The sequence below is a fragment of the Homo sapiens genome, chromosome 11, assembly GCF_000001405.40.
Source record: "Homo sapiens chromosome 11, GRCh38.p14 Primary Assembly".
In the NCBI taxonomy this organism is placed as follows: Eukaryota; Metazoa; Chordata; class Mammalia; order Primates; family Hominidae; genus Homo; species Homo sapiens.
This window is the reverse complement of record NC_000011.10, coordinates 14,447,407-14,470,876: the sequence shown is the minus strand read 5'-3', so window position 1 is coordinate 14,470,876 and position 23,470 is coordinate 14,447,407. Positions and strand designations below refer to the sequence as shown.

At 38.8% G+C, this 23,470-nt stretch overlaps 1 protein-coding gene across 3 annotated transcripts in view; it reads left to right on the top strand.

The window, feature by feature from the left end:
• COPB1 (coat protein complex I subunit beta 1) overlaps positions 1-13,365 on the top strand; it is a 42,300-nt gene extending 28,935 nt beyond the window's left edge. For all 3 annotated transcript variants that reach the window (NM_001144062.2, NM_001144061.2, NM_016451.5), the window contains exons 15-22: positions 1,314-1,541; positions 2,017-2,196; positions 4,451-4,595; positions 5,847-5,966; positions 9,546-9,691; positions 10,580-10,669; positions 12,190-12,345; positions 12,994-13,365. In NM_001144062.2, the coding sequence (NP_001137534.1) occupies positions 1,314-1,541; positions 2,017-2,196; positions 4,451-4,595; positions 5,847-5,966; positions 9,546-9,691; positions 10,580-10,669; positions 12,190-12,345; positions 12,994-13,053 (1,125 nt within the window). In that variant the 3' untranslated portion in view covers positions 13,054-13,365. The remainder of the gene's footprint in view (positions 1-1,313; positions 1,542-2,016; positions 2,197-4,450; positions 4,596-5,846; positions 5,967-9,545; positions 9,692-10,579; positions 10,670-12,189; positions 12,346-12,993) is intronic.
• The last annotated feature ends 10,105 nt before the right edge of the window (positions 13,366-23,470 follow it).

The window sequence follows — 23,470 nt, the reverse complement described above, 5'->3', positions numbered from 1 at the left end:
TTCTCCTTTTCACTTGGTTTCAGTAATTTGATTAGGATATGCCTTAGTGTGGTTTTCTTCATGTTTGCTGTACTTGTGGTTCATTGAGCTTGTTGGGTTTGCAGGTTTATATCTCCATCAGTTTGGGAAATTTTCAGTCATTTCCTCGGATTTTTTTTTCTGTCCCCTCCTCTCTTTCCTCTCCTTTTGGAGACAGTATCCAAACTTGGGGGACATATACTTACTCTTCTGCTGGTTTTTCCCAGGCCTCCAGTAGTTTTTCATGCATGTGTGCAGATCAGTACTCAGCCAAAGGCAATTTGGCAAGGGCTTAGAGCATATGTGTCAGGATAATGCTACATGAGACTAAAAAAGTAAGTTGCAATCACTTGTGGAAGACTTTGAATAGCGAGCTAAGTAATACGGACTTCAGTATGAAGGCTGACATTCATTAAAGGTATTTACATAGGGAATGAAATGATTGGTGCAGTATAAAGATTAAGATAGCAGCATCAGGTGATCACGCTTAGCAGCACAATAATTGGACAGCCTAACTTTAGGTACCTTGTGATGCAGTACAGGGTGAAATACAAAACATCACCTATCTGGTATTCTAATCAAAAGTGTGGGATATTCTATAAAACAACTGGCCTCAGTTCTTTAAAAAAGTTAGTGCGATTAAAAACAAAACGGCAGAGAACTGGTCTAGATTAAGAGGGATAAAATGCATGAAGCTGATCCTGGATTTAAAAAATAAAACAAAAACATTTTAAGACAATTTAGGGAGATTTATTTGAATTCAGAGTATAGAAGCTGTATTTTGGAATTGTTGAATTTTTCAGATGAGAAAATGAAATTGTGGTTTGTAGGAAACTGTTCTGACTCTTAGGAGATGAATGCTGAAGCATTTATGAGGTGAAGACTTTTTCACATGTCAGCCAAAAAAAATAAGTGTACATATACAGAATAGGTAAGCAAATGTGGCAAAATGTTAACAATTGGTAAAGTATATCATTCTTTTAACTTTTCTGTAGTTGGGATTAAAAAGGACAGCATCAGCATATGAAGTGGTTACAGAGAAGGACTGGAGCAAGGGAAAACAGTTAAAAAGCCTCTGCTGTCTCTAATTGAGGATTAATGCAGGTCTTAGAGAGTGGCAGTTAAGAGTAGAAAGGAAGGAGAAGAATGCAAAAACAGATATGGACATAAAATCCAAAGAATTTGAAATCTTATTCAGGTGAAGTGAAAATTTAGATTGTGAGTTATAATGAAGTGACATGATTGCAATCTGAGAATCAAGACAATATCAGTAACCGATTTCTTTACTTTCTTAGTCTTTTGTTGCTGAGGCTATGTTGCTCATGGCTACTATCCTGCATTTGGGAAAATCCTCTCTTCCTAAGAAGCCAATTACTGATGATGATGTGGATCGAATTTCCCTGTGCCTCAAGGTCTTGTCTGAATGTTCACCTTTAATGAATGACATTTTCAATAAGGAATGCAGACAGTCCCTTTCTCACATGTTATCTGCTAAACTAGAAGAAGAGAAATTATCCCAAAAGGTAAGGTATATATGATGAGGCAACAAAAGTGTTTTGTGTCTCTTCGTGCAGTGGCTCACGCCTGTAATCCCAGCACTTTGGGAGGCTGAGGCAGGAGGACTCCTTGGGGCCAGGTGTTTGAGACCAGTGTGGGCTACATAGCAAGCCCCTGTCTCAACAAAAAAAATGAGAAAATTAGCCAGGCATGGTGGTATGTGCCTGTCATTCCAGCTACTTGGAAGGCTGAGGATGAAGGATCGTTTGAATCTAAGAGTTCGAGGCTGCAGTGAGCTGTGATCATACCACTGCACTCCGCCTGGGCAACAGAGTAACAGCCTGTCTCAGGAAGAAAAAAAAGAAAAGAAAAGTGCTTTGTGGGTTTTCTTGTTGTTTTGTTGATTTTTCAGTTTTCATATGTGAGGGCTGTCTCTGTCAAAAGCCTCTAAAAAACTATCTTTTCATATTAAAGAGAGACTTTGTTATATTCTCAACACAGAAAGAATCTGAAAAGAGGAATGTGACAGTACAGCCTGATGACCCCATTTCCTTCATGCAACTAACTGCTAAGAATGAAATGAACTGCAAGGAAGATCAGTTTCAGCTGAGTTTACTGGCAGCAATGGGTAACACACAGAGGAAAGAGGCAGCAGATCCCCTAGCATCTAAACTTAACAAGGTAACAAAATGTCTGATAGACTCTAAATTATTTAAATCGACTCCTTAAGGAAGTTGTTAGTGCTGCTATTTTTAAAAGAAAGATAACTATTTTGTCAAGTCACTGTGATAGGTCCATTAAACCTCAGTTGAAACTCAGAAGCTGATGAAGTACCTTACTACTATATGTGATAGTACTGTAAGTCCATCAGATGGTTTAACTCGATCCAGTTGTGTCTGGAATCATAGACCAATAAATAGAAGTTGAGGGAAGGGGATCCTTAAAGGTTAGCTGAGGTTTTTAAAGGGAAGCTGAACAGGCAACAGCCCTGGCCTCTTCCCACACCTTGACCTCACCTTCTCTTATTCTCTGCTACTTTAAACAGAGCAGTTCTACTTTTATATTCTTAATATATCGAGTTCCATATAGAATTTTATTAGGAAAATGATTCTACTCTCTTAAATATATAAATTTAAGAATCAGTGATCCCTCATCTATTAGACTGAATGAACAGTCTTACATTACTTTTGTTTAAGATAAGGTCAGTAGCAGAATTGGAATTACTAAAACAATTTCCCTCCCTTAAAATTGGGAATTGATATCAATAATATTACATTTATAAAATTTTTTTAGTTTTTTTGAATTATAGTTAAAGTTGCAAAAGATTTGCCATTTTAACCCATTTGTAAGTGTACAGTTCTGTGGCATTAATTAAATTCATATTGTTATGCAGCCATCTCCAGGACTGTTTTCATCTTGCAAAGCTGAAACTATGTCCATTAAACAATAACTCGTCATTCCTACTTCCCCTCAACCTCTACTTACCCCTAGCCACCATTCTACTTTGTGTCTCTGTGATTTTGACTATTTTAAGTACCTCACAGAAGTGGAACAATACAGTATTTTTCCTTTTGTGACTGGCATATTTCACTCAGTATAATGTCTTCAAGATTCATTCATGTCATAGCATGTATCAGAATTTCCTGCCTTATTAAGGCTGAATAATATTACATTGTAAGTATATGCCACATTTTGTTTATCCATATATCCATCCCTGGATATGTGCATTGCTTCTGCCTTTTGGTTACTGTGAAGAATGCTGCTGTTAACACAGATGTACAAATATCTGTTCAAGTCCCTGCTTTTAGTTCTTTTGGGTATATATCTAGAAGCAGAATTGCTGGATCATATGATAATTGTACTTTTAATTTTTTGAGGAACCTCCATTGTGTTTTTCATGGTAGCTACACTATTTTACATTCTTACCAGCAGTGCACAAGAGTTCCAATTTCTCCATATCCTTGCCAACACTTGTTTTGTTTTTTTTTGATGATAGCCATCTTAATGGGTATGTGAAGTGGTATCTCATTGTGGTTTTGATTTGCATTTTCCTAATGATTAGTGATGATGAGTGTCTTTTCACGTGCTTATTGGCCATTTGTATATTTTCTTTGGAGAAATGTTTGTTCAAGTCCTGTGCCTATTTTTAAATTGGGTTGTTGGTTTTTTTTGTTTGAATTTTAGGAGTTATTAATATTCTGGATACTAACCCCCTTATCAGATACATGATTTGCAAATATTTTCTTCCATTCTGTGAGTTGCCTTTTCATTCTGTTGATAATATTTGATGCATAAAAGTGTTTAATTTTGATGTTTAATCTATTTTTTCTTTTATTGCCTATGCTTTTGGTGACAATATTAGCTTTTTAAAGTACAGTGCTTTCAGTGTGTTTAAATTTGGAGTGGGAGGGCATTTGTAATTTTATTTTTGTGGCATTACAATCATTTCTTACTATATAATCTGTTTAGTGCCTCAGTTTGTGGAGCAAGGGCTACCACATGATTTGGATTTTATTTGGATCCTGAGTTTCATAGATCAAGTAGTGAGTTTAGATACTTACTGAGGGATTTAAATGAAAGTGTATCCAAATTTATTTAGTTGGCAAAATTGGGATAATGTTTAATGTATTTGCTAAATATATTTAACATTTTTCTACTACTGAACTTATAAGCTCAAAAATCAACATGTATAATACCTTATACTGAGTTATTGAGCTTAAAAACAAATAGATGTCTTAAACTCTAGGACCTGTTATTTCTTAATATTCTGGTTTCAATTTCCATTTCTGCATTATAAAACAATTTTATTTTACCTATCTCAAAATGACTTCTAAGCAACTCTGTTAATAACCTACCAGACTTAATCATTTGGCCAGGGTATGTTTGGTGAAATTGCATCTGTCATTTGATTATGTCTTTGTTTTTGTTTTGACAGGTCACCCAATTGACAGGTTTCTCAGATCCTGTATATGCAGAAGCTTACGTTCATGTCAACCAATATGATATTGTCCTGGATGTACTTGTTGTGAACCAAACCAGTGATACTTTGCAGAATTGCACATTAGAACTAGCTACACTAGGTGAGGAAACTTACCATTCAGGAAAGAGATTGTCACATAGTAGATCTTTATGACAGATTAAGGGAGGTGCACAGGTTTCAGTATAAAAATTCTCTTGAACCTTTTCTGACATTTTGAATCAAGGCTTAGTTTTTCATTTATCATTTAGTTTCCTTAAACTCCAGTTTTCTGAACCTCTGTCATACTGAATTTTTATGCTCTTGGCACATTCAGGTGGATTCATTTAATAAGCTTAATCTAGCAAATGTCAGTATTTCTAGTTATAATACGAGCTGTTTAAGTCGCAGATTGACCAGGTAGCTCACTTAGTTAATTTCTAATTGCCTCATTACAGAACTAAGTATTTTCTGAATGCATAACTGTTAGATACCACATGTGACCAAAGTAATAAATCATATTACATTTAGCAATATGAGATGCATTTTTTTTTCTTAGTAAAGACACATGGGTCAGACTGCTTACTTCCACATCTGGTTTTGAAGTTGGAAAATATAAATTGTATATGGGAACAGTGCAGTACCCCCATCAGATTTCATATGGCTTATGCAAGTGTTAAGGAACTTCAAGATATCAAGGGGAAAACATACTTTTGCCCTGTTGTCCTCAGCATAGCTTGATGGCTGTATAAAAAACCATGTTTCTTAAGCATTTACAAGTCTTTATGCAGATTGTTTTATCTTTCTTCATAATGAAGTATATAGTTTAAGACTTAAGCTTTTTGAGAAGTTTGCATTCATTCATTGAAATAAAATGACCCCAATCTCTACAAAAAATCAAGAAAATTAGCCAGGTGTGGTGGGCCACTCCTGTAGTCCCAGCGACTCAGGAGGCTGAGGTAGGAGGATCGCTTGAGCCTGGAAGATCAGGGCTGTAGTGAGCTATGATCATGCAGTTGCACTCCAGCCTAGGTAACAAAGCAAGACCCTATCTCAAAATAAATAAATGGTAGGCTCAAAGTATCCTCCCTTCCCACAAATTAAATATGGAATTATTCTGAGATGCCTATTACCTTTTAAAAGAAAATATGCCTATTGATGGTGAATAATAAGGATGGTTAAGTGGTTTCTTTATTTTGTCCTCATTATATTTGATTCATACTCTTCTCATATTCGTCATATTCCTTATTTTCCTAGAAACTATTAAGCTGCATACATTTAAGGTTTTATGGTTAGTGTGTGTGTGTGTGTGTGTGTGTGTGTGTGTGTGTGTGTGTGTGTGTATTTTTAACCATATCCAAACTCTTTCTTTCAGGGGATCTGAAACTTGTGGAAAAGCCGTCTCCTTTGACTCTTGCTCCTCATGACTTCGCAAATATTAAAGCTAACGTCAAAGTAGCATCAACAGAAAATGGAATAATTTTTGGTAATATAGGTAAGGTGCTGTTTTATGGCATGTAATGTTTGAATACTTTTACTGAAGAATTTCTATAGTGAGTAGCTGGGGACATTGTATGAGGAGAGGATCTAAATCCATTTATTCATAATTTATGAGATACTCTCTATGGTACCACGCATTGAACTATGTTCTGGATGTACAGAAATGAACCAGATAGAGTCACTGTCCTCTAGAAACTGTCAGGCAAAAGGAGGAGCTAGCTAAGGCAATATATAATTGTAGTCCAGTGTGTTACAGGTTGGTTTATATACCATATGCTTTGAGGTTAGGGAAAAAAAAAATGCTAACAGTGTGGAAGGCTTTATAAAGGAAGATGGTGTGTTATCAAAGGATAATATTTTACCTGAGTCATTTGTTGCTAGGTGCACAAGGGTATCTCAGACCTAGGGATTAGCTTGTATAGAGTCATTCAGTCAGTAAGCTTATTTTGTTGCAATTTCTGTCATAAGGATAGGGCTACCATGGTGAGGAACAAATGATAGATTATGGTTGAGTAAGGGAAAACAGATATATAAAATAAATATGTGCAGTATGTAATGGTAAGTACTGTGAAAGAAAAAAATAAGTAAACCTGTACTAAGTAAGGTAGGAATCCATAAAGGGATTTGGTCAGTTCTCAGAGTGGTGGGGGATTGGGAGAAAAGCTTAGAAAAGGCTTCATGGAGGAGCAAGTGCTCAGTAGAAGACTACAGATAGACAAGGATGCAGTTAGAATAAATGCAAATGATTTGATACACTTGGAGTTCAGAATGGGTTGGAGGATGATGGCAGGAAAAAAATGAAGTTAGGAAGGTTTGTGGAAGCCATATTTTACTTGTCATGCTAAGGATGTTAGACTTTATCTGTGGAGAGAGGAAACATTGAGGAATTACAAATGAATGACTTATAGCATTATATCTTTTTGCGACAGTACTATAGAAGGTTGATTGGAAGAGGCAGGAAGATTAACTAGTAGAGAAGCCCAAGTGAGAGATGGCAGAGGACTTGAGCCAACACAGTAGTGGAATGGAGAGAAGGATGAATATAATATTAAGGATATGGTTAATGATTGAAGAGGAAGTGGCTAGAGTAACACTCAGATTTCCAGATTAGGTTTATTGGGTTGTTTATGTCATCATCATAACAGGAAATACAGGAGAGAAGAACAAACTTTAGAGAGACATAATAGGTTAAATCTTGAGCAGGTTCGGTATTAAAGTGCCTAAAGATATTCAAGGACAGTTTGATGTGAGTCTGGGACACAAACAAGAGGTCTAAACTAGAGATAGGCCGGGTGTGGTGGCTCATACCTGTAATTCCAGCACTTTGGGAGACCGAGGCGGGCAGATTACCTGAGATCAGGAGTTCTCAAGACCAGCCTGGCCAACATAGCGAAATCCTGTCTCTACTAAAAATACAAAATTAATTGGGCGTAATGGCGCACGCCTGTAGTCCCAGCTAACTCGGGAGGCTGAGGCAGGAGAATAGCTTGAACCCATGAGACAGAGGTTACAGTGAGCCGAGATCGCACCACTGCGCTCCAGCCTAGACAACAGAGTGAGACTCTGTCTCAAAAATAAATAAATAAGTAAAAATAAACTAGAGATAAGTATTTGTTTAAAAGCCATAGGAATAGAAGAAATCACCCAGAGAGGGCATACAGACTAAAAAGAGGGGAGATTTGAAAACAGAATCCAAGCAAACAGCAACACTGAAAGCTTGGTCAAAGGAGAAAGAGCCTACAAGGGTATCTGAAGTGTGGTTAGAAAAGTAAGGAAAAACCTTCAGAAAGTATTTGAAGCTCCACAGGATAAAATAACTTTAGTTATTAAAGTCTGAAAGAGAGGTCTTTTGGATTTGGCTATTAGTGATTTTAAAACATTTCTTGTGGGACATCTTGGGTGTTAGTGGTGGGTTGAAGACTAAATACGATATGAAGAAATACAGGTAGTGTAGACTATTCTGAGTGTAGGATCTTGGCTTTGATAGGAATAAGAAGGGGCAGTACCAAGAAGAGAAGGCAAGAATGAGTGAGGATTTATTTTTTGAAAATAAGAGAACCTCGAGTATATTTATAGACCATAAGGGAAGAAAGTTGGTAGAGAATGGGAAAGTAAAGACATAAGGATGAAAGAGATAGTGATTGGAGTGGGGTCCTGGACCAAAGCAGGAATCACAGATGGCAGGAAGTATTAATCTTGAAGAAATGAGGTAGTACTTCTCTGATACGTATGAGAGGGAAGGATGTGAGAGTGAATTCCAAGAGAGAGAGTTGTTTTTAGATGTGGAGCTGAAAATTAAAGGAGCTTATTCTTGGTAGCCTCAGTTTTCCCTGAAAGTTGAAAGAGTGGAAGAATGTCAAGAAAAGAGCCTAGAGGCCGGGCACAGTGGCTCATGCCTGTAATCCCAGCACTTTGGGAGGCCAAGGCGGGTGGATCATGAGGTCAGGAGTTCAAGACCAGCCTGGCCAAGATGGTGAAACCACATCTCTACTAAAAATACAAAAAATTAGCCAGGCGCGGTGGCAGGCGCCTGTGGTCCCAGCTACTCAGGAGGCTGAGGAAGGAGAATCATTTGAACCCGAAGGGTGGAGGTTGCAGTGAGCTGAGATTGTGCCACTGCACTCCAGCCTGGGTGACAGAGTGAAACTCCATCTCAAAAAAAAAAAAAAAAAGAAAAGAAAAGAGCCTAGAAAGAGGAATGTAGGCTCCAATCAGATTATAACTCTCTACTGTGGAAGAAATGGTCATAGAAGCAAATATAGTCAGCCTTCTGTATCCGTGGGTTCCACATCCATGGATTCAACCAGCCACAAACTGAAAATATTTTAGAAAAAAAAAAAAATGGTTGTGTCTATACTGAACATATATAGACATTTTTTCCTTGTCATTATATCCTAAACAATACAGTATAACTATTTACATAGCATTTATGTTGTATTAGGTACTGTAAGTAAGCTAGAGATGATTTAAAATATATGAGAAGATGTGTATAGGTAATGCAAATACTATGCCATTTAATATCAGGGACTTGAGCATCTGTAGATTTTGGTATCCATAGGGGGTCCTGGAAGCAATTCCCCATTAATACTGAGGGATGACTAATCTTGTATCATTAAGTAGTATGGGTCAGCAATATTTATTCAAAAGTATTAGTTAAGTACCTCCTATGGGAACATCGTCCACTTGTATATCTGCTGCAGTGCCTAGTATGCTGCAACTGCTATGTAAGTACTCACTGAATTGAATTATTTGTTTAACCACAAAAAACAAAGTGTGCCTGAGTTCGAATCCTATCCCCACCACTTATCAGTTGTGTGATCTGGAACAACTTACTTAACTTCTCTGCTTTCATTTCCTCATATGTAAGATGGAAAATAATAATACTATCAGAATTGATGGGAGTATTAAACCAGTAATATTTATAAAGCATGTAGAATAGAGCTCTGTACATAATAAGTATTATATAAACAATCTTATTGTTAATAGTGTAGTTCTTTGGATATTTGGATATTAAGATTTTTTAAATTCAAGTTTGCCCCAGTGATTGCGAATCTTTTTGTATATGTAATTGCAGTTTATGATGTCTCTGGAGCAGCAAGTGACAGAAATTGTGTGGTTCTCAGTGATATTCACATCGACATCATGGACTATATCCAGCCTGCAACTTGCACTGATGCAGAATTCCGTCAGATGTGGGCCGAATTTGAATGGGAAAACAAAGTTAGTCCTTGGGAGATTTTCTCATATTCCTTTATCTTTCTTCCTTTTGCCTGCTGTTGAGGAGTCTGCTAATAAAATTAATCTCGCTAAAAAGTGTTTAACATGAAAAGCAAATAGTCTTTCAGTATCTGTTCTTGCAAATTAGCCTTAACTAAAAATCATGTAAGTAGTTTGGTAATTTGCTGTTATAAATTGATTAGAGTAGCAGTTCTATAGCCAATCTGATAGGTTTAGACATTATAGGTAATATTCCATCCCTTCTATGTATGACCAAGAGCTTACCATTTAATCTAGTGCCCGAAAAAGGCTTTACAAAGTTCATGGTCTGTTGAGGAACTTTGTCCCTTTGAGCCTTGACTTTTATTAGAAATATTCTATATGAGGCTGGGCACGGTAGCTCGTGCCTGTAATCCCAGCACTTTGGGAGGCTGAGGCAGGCAGATTGCTCGTGCTCAGGAGTTCTAGACCAGCCTGAGCAAAATGGTGAAACTCCATCTCTACAAAAAATACAAAAATTAGCCCGGTGTGGTAGTCCCAGCTACTCCGGAGACTGAGGTGGGAGGATCACTTGAACATGGGAGGTTGAGGCTGCAGTGAGCTGAAATGACGCACTGCACTCTAGCCTGGGTGACAGAGTGAGACCCTGTCTCAAAAAAAAAAAGAAATATTCTATATGCTTCATATTGAATCTCTGTGAAGTTATCTCTATTGGGAAGTACTGATACCAACCTACAGCTTGTTGGATTTTATAGATGTTATTTAGTTTCTTGGTGTCTACTCTTTCCAACCTAAACAGTTGGAACAAGTTTTTAATATGACATACTGGTGATTCACAGCTTTCTCATAGTAAGATTTATGATCTCCTTGACTTTTTTTTCCTCTCTACAGGTGACAGTTAACACCAACATGGTTGATTTAAATGACTACTTACAGCACATATTAAAGTCAACCAATATGAAATGCCTGACTCCAGAAAAGGTAAAATTTGACTAGGAAATTCAGAAATCTGATGGAATGGTAGAGTAGGTTCCTGGCCTTCCTGTATTTCCTCTAGCACATTTTTGTTATTCAATATGCAGTACCATTCTAGGCTATCTAAAAGATGTTATCCCATAGAATGTTGGAATCTGCTTACCTCTTTCTATTGGACTATACCATCCTACTTTTTCCTAGTGCAGTGACCCAACTGAATAGTCAGATTAATTTTTTTTTTATTTTCTTTTCAATCTTCTCCCCCATTCAGCTAGAGGCACATTCTAAAGTAGTTTATGCTGCACATGGTGGTTCATTCCTGTGATCCTAGCACTTTGAGAGGCTGAGGCGGGCAGATCACTTGAGGTCAGGAGTTTGAGACCAGCCTGGCCAATATGGCGAAACCCCATCTCTACTAAAAATACAAAAATTACCCAGGTGTGGTGGCACGTGCCTGTAATCCCAGCTACTTGGGAGGTTGAGGCAGGAGAATCACCTGAACCCCAGGGGGTGGAGGTTGCAGTGAGCCGAGATCACACCACTGCATTCCAGCGTGGGTGACAGAGTGAAACTCTGTCTCAAAAAGATAAATAAAATCGTTTATTTGTAATACTGGATTAGAAAATGTCCATGAGCTCTTCCGTGGGCTCTGATTGTTGGTTAAAATATATGTGCTCAAATACAGAATCGTTGTTATACTGTGACTTTTTGCTATGTTTGTGTATGTATGAAAAAAACGAGAGAGAAAGAAAAATGAAGCTGGAGCTCTAAGGAACTTTTTTCTTTATGTAAAATTTCTATAATGTTATAATATTCATTTTATAAATAAAATAATGTCTGCTACCAAACAAGTAGGTTTTAATTTATATATTAGTTTATTCAGCATATACTGAGTCCAACAAAAGTAGTCTCTTCCTTCATGGCGCTTAAGGTCTGATATGGGAGGCAGTCAAGCAAGTTAAGTAAACAGAATATATAAATACAAATCGGATTAAGAACTATTTATTTAACATCAGATTTATTGAGGTATAATACACAGTAAAATTCACACTTTTTACATGTATAGTTGAGTTTTGACAAACTCATAAGATTATGTAACCACCACCCTGTATGTAAGTACTGTTTTAAGTGATAAATAACCAATGGGGCTGGGCGTGGTGGCTCACACCTGCAGTCCCAGCATTTTGGGAGGCCGAGGCGGGTGGATCACTTGAGGTCAGGAGTTCAAGACCAGCCTGGCCAACATGGTGAAACCCTGTCTCTACTAAAATTACAAAAATTAGCCAGGTGTGGTGGCGAATGCCTGTAATCCCAGCTACTTGGGAGGCTGAGGCAGGAGAATCGCCTGAACCTGGGAGGAAGGTTGCAGTGAGCCGAGATCACGCCACTGCACTCCAGCTCCAAGCTGGACAACAGAGTGAGACTCTGTCTCAAAAAAAAAAAAAAAAAAGTCACCTATGCTGTTTGGTTTTTGCCTCTATGTAGGTATCTGGTAAAGTAATGAATTTATCACAAATTTTTTCCAGGCCCTTTCTGGTTACTGTGGCTTTATGGCAGCCAACCTTTATGCTCGTTCCATATTTGGTGAAGATGCACTTGCAAATGTCAGCATTGAGAAGCCAATTCACCAGGGACCAGATGCTGCTGTTACCGGCCATATAAGAATTCGTGCAAAGAGCCAGGTAACAGTTCCTTTTTTTTTGAGAGTATCTCTGGACTGACAAAGGGGGGAGGAATTTATGACTTTATTATTTCTATATGTAGTATCTTTTTAGCATTAGATGCATATACACATACAATAATAATATACTCTGAATAGAAGTATAACTTTTCTCATTAAAATTTCTCACCTTTTGGGCCCCTCATTCTGGGATATTTGCCTAAAACCAGATTGATTCCTATGGGGTGTTTGTGAAATGGGTTCTCTAGAATTTTTTGAAAGCCAAGGTGTAAATCTAGTGACTAATTAGCTGGGTGTTGTAGCGCACACCCGGTAATCCCAGCTACTCGGGAGGCTGAGGCAGGAGAATTGCTTGAACCCGGGAGGTGGAGGTTGCAGTGAGCTGAGATTGTGCCATTTCACTCCAACCTGGGTGACAGAATGAGACTTCGTCTCAAAAAAAAAAAAAAAAAAAAAAATCTGGTGACGGCTTGAAAAATCTAGCACTGAAAGGTAATTACCAGTAAAGTTTGGTAAGTCTGTTTGGTATGTCCTTGATTTTATTGTTGATAATGGTGTCATTGAATTGAATTGGGGCTTAATAATATGGAATAACCTACTGATTGTACATAGTTTAAATAATTATAAATATCTTAATTTTTCTTTACAGGGAATGGCCTTAAGTCTTGGAGATAAAATCAACTTGTCACAGAAGAAAACTAGTATATAAAAATAAACAAAAAGTCCTTGAAGCTTTACAGTTAATTTAGGTATGGGCTTACTGGACTCCAACATCTTTTGTACTCTTTCATGCTTATATAGAATCTGAGTTCATGCTGAATACTTTTCAGCCAATAATTTATAGCCTTTCCCTTAAATCAAGATTGAGTTTAAAATTATAGTTTGTCTTTTGTCTTAACAGTTCTGAATGCTGTCCTCAAAGTATATAATGTTTCATGTACCAAGACCCTTTTCACAGTACAATAAACAGATCTATTCATAAATTTTTGTTATTTTATAAATAAATGATTACATAATTTTAGTTATATGGCAATGGATTTCTTTTAGTTGGGTTATAAATTTCTATTATAAATTTAAATTACTGAGTTGTGAATATATGCAGCTTTATTAAGAGAATTTACAAATTCAATGATATAAAATAAGGTAGGCCTTGATTCACTTGGTTGTTTTTTACTTATTTAATATTCCAACATTGCTATCTCTAAAAATGCATTATCATGTTTTGAAGGGATTTGCTCTTGAATTTAGCTCCAGGGAGAAAGTATCAAAATAACTTTTTTTTTTTTTTTTGAGATGGAGTCTGGCTCTGTCACCCAGGCTGGAGTGCAGTGGCGTGATCTTGGCTCACTGCAAGCTCCACCTCCCGGGTTTACACCATTCTCCTGCCTCAGCCTCCCAAGTAGCTGGGACTACAGGTGCCCGCCACCACGCCTGGCTAATTTTTTGTATTTTTAGTAGAGACGGGCTTTCACCATGTTGGCCAGGATGGTCTCGATCTCCTGACCTCGTGATCCGCCCGCCTCAGCCTCCCGGAGTGTTGGGATTACAGGCGTGAGCCACCGCACCCGGCCCAAAATAACTTGAGAAAACAGATCGCTCTGCAGTTTAAAGAAGTATTATGTACCCGAACTGAAATAGATATACTGTTCTTAATTATCCTGAATCATAATGAAGAGTAGATAATCCAAAATAGATTTTTTAATCATTCACATTTAGTTTGGGGTGTTCTATGTTTGTTAGGAATAAAACTGGTTCTAACCAATTACTGAAGCTGGTACTGGGAGGATTCAACTAGAGAGGATTCAAAAAGCTGCCTTTTTCTCTGTTGCCTCCGTGCCTTACTCACATTTAGTTTAGGGTGTTCTATGTTTGTTAGGAATAAAACTGGTTCTAACCAATTACTGAAGCTGGTACTGGGAGGATTCAACTAGAGAGGATTCAAAAAGCTGCCTTTTTCTCTGTTGCCTCTGTGCCTTACTCACTCGTCTCCTTTTCCTCACTTCACACTAGGACTGGGTACCATCACACTGCAGTATAATTCCAAATGCATTTCCAAGCTAAGTTTCCCAGCGTCTGATTGTGCTTTCCTTTTGGCCTTTACTTTCATTGGGGGTGATTGAGGTAGTCTGATTTTTTAGCTAAGTCTAAACTTAAGGCTATTATTTGTCTACCAGCTAGGGTTCAGGCTGCATTCCCTGTGAGTCCTTAGATAAGGTCTGTGAAAGACTGAAAGCATCTCCTATTTCATTAAGAATGAAATGATTTGTTTGGAGTATAAGGAGATTGATACCTTGTATGATGTCATAAACTGTGAAGCCACTTGCTTTTAAAAAAAAAAAAAGAAAAAAAAAGCCTAGATTACAGGGCATTTGAGATTCCAGAACACTGAGATCTTAGAACAAAGCCAGGGCTTATCAAATGGGAAAGATATACTGGAAGTGCAGAGAAGGGATGTCGATTCAAGGGTAGAGATTTGCAATGAGAGCGAAGGAGCTGGTGCAACTTTGGATTAGATCATCATTTCCCAAACTCTGTTCTACTGAACATTAGCTTCCTTAGATGTCATTAGATATTCTGAGTGAAAAAGTAATTCCATAGTCAAGTAAGTTGGGGAAAAGCTTCAAACTGTCCTGCACTGGAGATTCACAATGTACATTAGCATACCAGAGATTCTGAGAGGAAAGCAGATTAGTTTGGTTTAACCCAGTATATCCTAACCTTACTTTACCAGGGAATCCTTTTTCCATGACCTATTGACAATATATGGGACAGGAAAAGTGACTTAGCCTGTTAATGATATTAGTGTTGTAATCACAGTTAACCAGTATCACATTTCATATCTGAAGGAATTATGCCTGTGTACATCCTAGAATATATCTCGGTTGATACTCTTAGAAAGTTGCCTGCCTGACATATTCAGGCCATTTTTGTTGGAATCAGATTGCCTCACATTGCCATTTTCTTAAATTCATAAATAAGGAGAACAAAGAAGTTAACACAATTGTCAGATACATTAAACTGTTTACTTCATTAGCATTTCATTAGCTTTGTGCATGTAATAAATGTGAACTGAATTGGATAGCAGCACATTGTTGAAAGAAGCTGTTTACACTATGCCCTGTTATTTGGGATATAATATACATTCAAAGATAGTAGCTGTTCACATTATAAGATACCATATAATTAGGACCATGATGTCCGGTAGAGAATAAACATTAAATACCAAATGAAAGCTTAATATATTAATGTATTGAATGTGGATAAACCTGTAAAGCTTACAGGAGCATTAAATGGCTTACATTGCAGTAATGTCACAACACTAGAGGGAGCTCTGTGCAGTGATTTTTTTTTTTTTTTTTTTTTTTTTTCATTTTGCAATTAGAAGAGATTGGCACTCAGTTGTTTTATAAGAAGAAAAAGGGTCAAGTGTGGTGGCTCGCACCTATAATCCCAACACTTTGGGAGGCCAAGGCTGGAGGGTGGATTGAGGCCAGGAATTCAAAACCAACCTGGGCAACATAGACCCTGTCTCTACAAAAAAATTTTACAAATTAGCCTGGTATGGTGGCATGTGCCCGGGAAGCTGAATCGGGAGAAATTCTCGGGACCAGGAGTTCAAGGCTGCAGCGAGCTATGATTGTGCCGCTGCAGTCCATCCTGGGTGACAGGGTGAGACTCCCTCTCTTTTAAAAAAAAATTTTTTTTTAAAGGAGCCTGGGCATGGTGGTTTATGCCTGTAATCCCAACACTTTCGGAGGCCAAGGTGGGAGTATCACTTGAGCCCAGAAGTTCAAGACCAGCCTGAGCAACAAAGAGATCCCCCATCAAAAAAAAAAAAATTTAAGAAAAAGCAAGATTATTTTTCCTTTTTTAAAAAACTTTTTTTTTTTTTTTTGAGACGGACTCTGGCTCTGTCACCAGGCTGGAGTGCAGTGGCACAATTGGCTCACTGCAACCTCCACCTCCCTGGTTCAAGCAATTCTCCTGCCTCAGCCTCCTGAGTAGCTGGGACTACAGGCGTGGGCCACCATGCCCAGCTAATTTTTATCTATTTTTAGTAGAGATGGGTTTTCACCATATTGGCCAGGATGGTCTCAATCTCAACCTCGTGATCTGCCTACCTCAGCCTCCCAAAGTGCTGGGATTACAGGCGTGAGCCACGGTGCCCGGCCTTTTTTTTTTTTTTTGGGACGGGGTCTGGCAGTGGTGCGATCTTGGCTCACTGCAACCTCCACCTCTCTCACCTCATCACCCGAGTAGCTGGGACCACAGGCACATGCCACCATGCCCAGCTAATTTAATTTTTGTATTTTTTGTAGAGACAGTTTTGCCATGTTGCCCAGGCTGGTCTCAAACTCCTGAGCTCAAGCAATCCATCCACATTGGCCTCTCAAAGTTTTGGGATTACAGGCGTGAGCCACTGCACCTGGCTATTTTTCTATTAGCAAGGTAATTCGTAAATGAGAACAAAGAGAAGGAAGTTAATATAGTTGGCAGATACATCAAGCTGTTTGCTTACCTCACTAATAGAAAACTTGCTTTTTCTTCTTTTAAAAACAACTTTGGCTGGGCACGATGGCTTACACCTGTAATCCCAACACTTTGGGAGGCTGAGGCAGGCAGATGGCATGAGCCTGGGGTTTAAGACCAGCCTGGGCAACATGGCAAAACCCTGTCTCTACAAAAAATTAAAAAATTAGCCGGGCGTGGTGGCATGCACCTGTAGTCCTAGCTATTCAGGAGGCTGAGGTAGGAGGACTGATAAGGCCCAGGAGGTTGAGGCTGTAGTGAGCTGTGATCATGCCACTGCATTCCAGCCTGGGCAACAGAGTGAGACCCTGTCTCAGAAAAAAAAAAAAAAAAAAATGCCAAGGTTGATAGTGATATTTTGCTACCTGTCAGAAACTTTTCTACTTAAGTGGGAAATAATGTGGGAGACAAAAACTCATTTTAGGGATATCAGAAAGGTAAGAGAACCAAAACATAAATATCTTTAGAAACTCAAATAATATCAGAGGTGAAATATTTGTGCTATGTATTGGGTAAACTAAGTAGTTTTATTTGTGACTTGTTCCTTCCAGATTGATGAATGTTCCAGTCAGCTAATGTATAGCCTTTCTCTTAAATCAAGATTGAGTTTAAATTATAGCTTGTCTTTTAATAGTTCTGAATGCTGTCCTCAAAACGGTTAGGGATACCAGCCTCCTGCCTTACTTTCCTCTCCCAGATTCTCAGTACACCATCACTGTTACTGTCCCCAGCTCCATTCTCTACCTCCAGGATCTCAGGAGCCTACAGAAGTAACCAGGTATGATGCAGAAGTTCAGTTTAGAATTAGGAAAGTATGGAATCCTATCTGCTAGTTATGTGCTATGTAGTCTCAGGCAATGGTAAATAGCTAACTTAGTCAGTGCTTACTTGTGCCAGGGTATAACTGTGAGTGCTTTTTCCATGACATTTACAGTGTTCACAATGATCCTCTAAGGCAAATACTGTTAATACCATCATTTAAGGATGACGATTACAGTCTTACAACAGGTTAAGTCACTTATTCAAGGTTTAATAGTAAGAGACAAACTCAGATATAAAGCCAGGTATCTGACACTAAAGCCCTTGTAACTAGTCACACATTGCCACCACAGCCTAATAAATTGTACCTCAGTTTCCTCATTTGTAAGGTGCTTTTAAGGTGTATTTCACAGAGGTGATATGAACATGAAATGATACTTATTATGAATATTTAACACACAGTAGATGCTCATCAGTATGTATTCATTCCATTTTTTCCCACATTGACCTTCCTTACCTTTCAGAGGAGACTGAACCCTGTTCCCATTATCTTTATACTTCCCTCAGAATTTAGGTCTTCATTTTACACTGTAAAATGTACGTTTTACACAGTAACTTACTTAAAAGAATCTTCATGTCTTGAGAATTATTCAATTGAGGTATCATTGGCCCTTGACTCTGTAACTATTTGTTGTGTAGTTTTTTTTGTTTTTGTTTTGTTTTGTTTTGTTTTGTTTTTTGAGACGGAGTTTCACTCTGTTGCCCAGGCTGGAGTGCAATGGCACGATCTCAGCTCACCGCAACCTCCGCCTCGTGGGTTCAAGCGATTCTCCTACCTCAGCCTCCCGAGTAGCTGGAAGAACAGATGCCTGCCACCATACCTAGCTAATTTTTGCATTTTTAGTAGAGATGGGGTTTCTCCACATTGGTCAGGCTGGTCTCGAACTCCTGACCTGAGGTGATCCACCACCTCAGCCTCCCAAAGTGCTGGGTTTACAGGTGTGAGCCACCGCACCCAGCCTGTTGTGTAGTTTTTTTAATAAGCTCTTGGCACTTTTGCCTATCAACTATTGTTAGCTAAACGTAATTGTCATAACCCATGTTCCTCATGTGATAGATCATCTATGGTGAACATACTGGCTTTGTTTGCTTTCAGAATGACAATCAGATGACTGGTTCTTTAAAATTGAGCCCAGAGATATGTGCAGCCAGGTTACAATAACAGTGTGATGTTTAGGGGTTGCTCACTGTGATCAAAAGTCACTTCTAATAATCTGACCACTTCCTCTTTTATTTTCTCCATCTAGCAATGGCAGAATCTCTGAGAAGTCAGTCATGCAGTGACAAAAGAATGCAAGTGGGATTTGTGTCTTTTATCTGGGCTCTGTATATAATTATAGGATTCTGAGAAAACTTTGCGTTGTATGTATTTTGGAATAATTGTATGTGGAATAATTGTATTAGTTAGGGTCCTCTAGAGGGACAGACTAATAGGATATATATATAAAGGGGAGTTTATAAAGTATTAACTCACACGATTACAAGGTCCCACAATAGGCTGTCTGCAAGCTGAGGAGCAAGGAAAGCCAGTCTGAGTCCCAAAACTGAAGAACTTGGGAGTCTGATGTTCGAAGGCAGGAAGAGTCTAGCACTGGAGAAAGATATAGGCTGGGAGGCTAGGCCAGTCCAGTCCAGTCTTTTCTTTTCTTTTTTTGAGATGGAGTTTTGCTCTTGTTGCCCAGGCTGGCGTGCCATTGCATGATCTCGGCTCACTGCAACCTTTGCCTCCCAGGTTCAAATGATTCTCTTGCCTCAGCCTCTGGAGTAGCTGAGATTACAGGCGCCTGCCACCAAGCCCAGCTAATTTTTTTGTATTTCCAGTAGAGATGGGGTTTCACCATGTTGGCCAGGCTGGTCTCGAACTCCTGACATCAGGTGATCCACCTGCCTCAGCCTCCCAAAGTGCTGAGATTACAGGCGTGAGCCACCGCGCCTGGCCTCAGTCTAGTCTTTTCACGTTCTTCTGACTGCTTTATATTCTAGCCACACTGGCATCTGATTAGATGGTGCCCACCCAGATTAAGAGTGGGTCTGCCTTTCCCAGCCCACTAACTCAAATGTTAATCTCCTTTGGCAACACCCTCACAGACACACCCAGGATCAATACTTTGCATCCTTCAATCAAATTGACACTCAATATTAACCATCACAATTGTAAAACCAACAAAATAAACAAATGAAATGCAGCATGTTGGACTGAAAGAGTCCTGAATGAATTTTTCTAAATCTATTCTCAATTCACTAAGTAGCTTTGTGAAAACAGACAGATGTCACTGGGCCTATGTTCTTATCTGTAAAATGAAACAATTCAGCTAGCTGACTTTCTGGGTTTCTGGCTTAAAAATCTATACTAAAAAGCCTTATGTTTTATTTTTGTTTTTTATGTTTTTAAAAATATCCTTATTTTATTTTATTGTTTATTTTATCCATAAACAAGGAGCAGGAAAGCCTTGTGTTTTTATAGCTACCTCTTCAACAAGCTCTGTAAATCAACTGGGATATCTCTACCTGGATGTTACCAATGGGCACATCAAAATGAAATGGAATTTATCTTGTTCCCCTAACTTGCTCCTCTACTGTGTTCTCTGGTAATTTATGCTAGAAACCCAGTAGTCATCTTTAACTCTACCCTCACACCTATATCTCATCAGACACCAAGACTCATTTTTTTCCCTTCCTCAATATTTTTCTAATCTTCTTTCCCCACTCCACTGCCATTGTCCTGGTTTAGACTCTCGTCGTCCTTAACGTGGTCTCCTACAGTAGCCTAACCATAAACTTCACATATAATTTTAAAATTAAAGCCTATGCCTTAATTTTAGTCACATACAACAGTTTCTATACAATTTTTGGACCTGGTCAGACTCTTCCCTACTAATACTATTTTTGAGAGGCATACTGAAAAAAAGAAAAAGTCCAAAGATTTAATAACATTTTTAATAATAAAAATGAAAAATGATCAAGATGCTCCAAAATGAGTATTGACAAGCAATGGTGGTGTGTCTATAGTCTGTACCAGAGTACCCAGTAGATAGTAGATGCTTAATAAATATTTGTTGAGTGACCAAATGAATAATGCATATAGTCATAAAGATAACTAGGGTGTGGACTAAATTGCACTGTGGGGATGTGCCTAGGAAAAAAATGTTAGGTGAGAAAAAGACAGCACTCTCCTACATTATGATAATGTCTCCTGCATAAGATGAATCAGGGCCGGGCGCAGTGGCTCACGCCTGTAATCCCAGCACTTTGGGAGGCCGAGGCAGGTGGATCACCTGAGGTCAGGAGTTCATGACCAGCCTGGCCAACATGGTGAAACCCTGTCTCTACTAAAAATACAAAAAAAAAAAAAATTAGCCGGGCATGGTGGTGGGCACCTGTAATCCCACTACTCGGGAGGCTGAGGCAGCAGAATAGCTTGAACCTGAGAGGCGGGGGTTGCAGTGAGCCCAGATTGTGCCATTGCACTCCAGCCTGGGCAACGGGGCAAGACTCTGTCTCAAAAAAAAAAAAAGATGAGTCAGGATATGTTGCAGATACATGGCCTATCTCTCCAAGTGAATAGGAAATTGAAATATCACATCAGTCTTATCTCCAGTACATCTTGAAAATAAATGTTGTCTACCCCACCCACCCTGTTACTGGGTGTAGCTAAGATATTTTATTGGCTACAGTCCCTGATTCCAGCTTTTGTGATTTTTATATCTGTGATCTTGATCTCTTGGGATTCAAAGTGGCTGAAACCTCAGCCTTTTCTGGGCATCCTCTTGTGAGTTAACAATGTATTCCCTTATAAGAGGGTGGGAACAGATTCCTACCACACAGGACTTCACCAGCCAGGGTGTAGGGAAAATGCCCATCTGGCTCAAGGAGTCTGGGAAAATTACTGACTTCTACTGAGCTATGCAAACCATTTCTGAAAGCCCAACAACATTTAAAAAGTGAATTTAATGAATTATAATCAAAATTTTCTCTTTCTACAAAGTAAGTCACACTTTTTTTTTTTTAAGTGATCCCTTGCTTTGAGTAAAAGTATGACTGCTTTCTGTTAGGCTAAGAGCATGTTTTTCAAACTTTCCCTGCTAGAACACTAGTATTCCACAAACTGGACAAATGTGTTCCCACAGCTAAAATCAGATAGTGATGATCTTTTTCCCAAGTTGGTAGAACACATTTTGTCAATTTTATGTTTATTCTCTATAAAGATTTTTAACACTTTAATGCCTGCTACCAAACTTTAAAAGTACTGAGGAAGCATTATGGAAATATTAATATTTGGTGGGATGAATGTTCTTGATCTAACAGCTTGTCTTTGTGGCCATATGTGCTCCTGGTGGTTTTATATTGCATACATATATTTTCAGCTAGCAAATTGTTTCTTGTTTATCAAATTGAATTTGTATTTCATGGTTGTAGCAAAGGACAATTTGGTTTCTAGGTGCCCCACTACCATCCTAGATGTTTGTATAAAACATAAAACCCAAATGCTCTTATGTAATCCATATATAGTGCTCATAAACACCGTTTACCCTAATGAAATAAGCCTTGGTAATGGAAATGTAAATCCCAGTTCAGGTAGTCCCCAGCTTATGCCTTCAATGTAAAAGAACTCTGGAAACGCCCTGGAAGAGTGCACCCTTGTTTTTGGCACTCAACCTGTATGCTTTTTCCCTCATTCCCCAAACTAAGATAAAACACAGGGACTCAGTGCTAAGGACCCTTGGGTTCTGACTGGTAATACCTGCTGTACATCTAGTGTTATGCAACATCCTGGTGTTACTAAGAGTAAGATAAAGTCTGGTGAATATTTTAAGGGCACAGAAACACCTAATCAGAGCACTGCTTGAAAGTCTTAAAATAGAAAAATGTATCAATTGCTGTGAGAGCACAGAAAACTGGTGGCTATCAGAGGAGAGTCAGGTATAGTTTCATAAAGAGGTGACATTTGAATTAAGCCTTGAAAAGCATAAATTTGGCTGCTTAATGTCAAATAAGGGATGGGGGAAAAGGGGTGAAAAAACCATTCCAGCCACAAAACAGGTGGGAGAAAGTCACAGAGGTACATGACACAGAGAATTGGGTTCTATTCAACATAGCATCTTTGGGAGGCAATACGATTAGGCTGGAGATGGCAAATTGTAAGCAGATAGTGACAAATTTGCTTTTTGTTTGTTTTTTAAGAGACAGGGTCTTGCTCTGTCACCTAGGCTGGAGTGCAGTGAGTGGCGTAACCATAGTTCACCGTAAGCTTGAACTCCTGGGCTCAAGCAATCCTCCCACCTCAGCCTCCCAAGTAGTTAGGACTAAAGTGTATGCCACCACACTGAGCTAATTTTTAAAATTCTTTCTTTTTTGTGAGATAGGGTCTTGCTGTGTTGTCCAGGCTGGTCTTAAACATCTGACCTCAACTGATTCTCCTGCTGCAGACTCCCAGAGTGCTGGGATTACAGGTGTGAGCCACTGAGCCCAGCCCAGATTTGCATTTAGGAAAAAACCTTTGGAGAATAGATTGGAAGTGTGGGAGACCAGTTAGAAGCCAACTGTAGAAGCAAAATTCAAGAGTAATTTTAAGCTGGGTGCAGTGGCTCACACCTGTAATTCCAGAACTTTAGGAAGCCAAGGTGGGAGGATTGCTTGAGCCCAGGAGTTTGAGACTGGCCTGGGCAACATAGTGAGACCCCTGTCTCTACAAAAACTAAAATAGCCCAGCATGGTGACCCAGCTACTTGGGAGGCTAAAGTGGGAGGATTGCTTGAGCCCAGGAGTTCAAGGCTGCA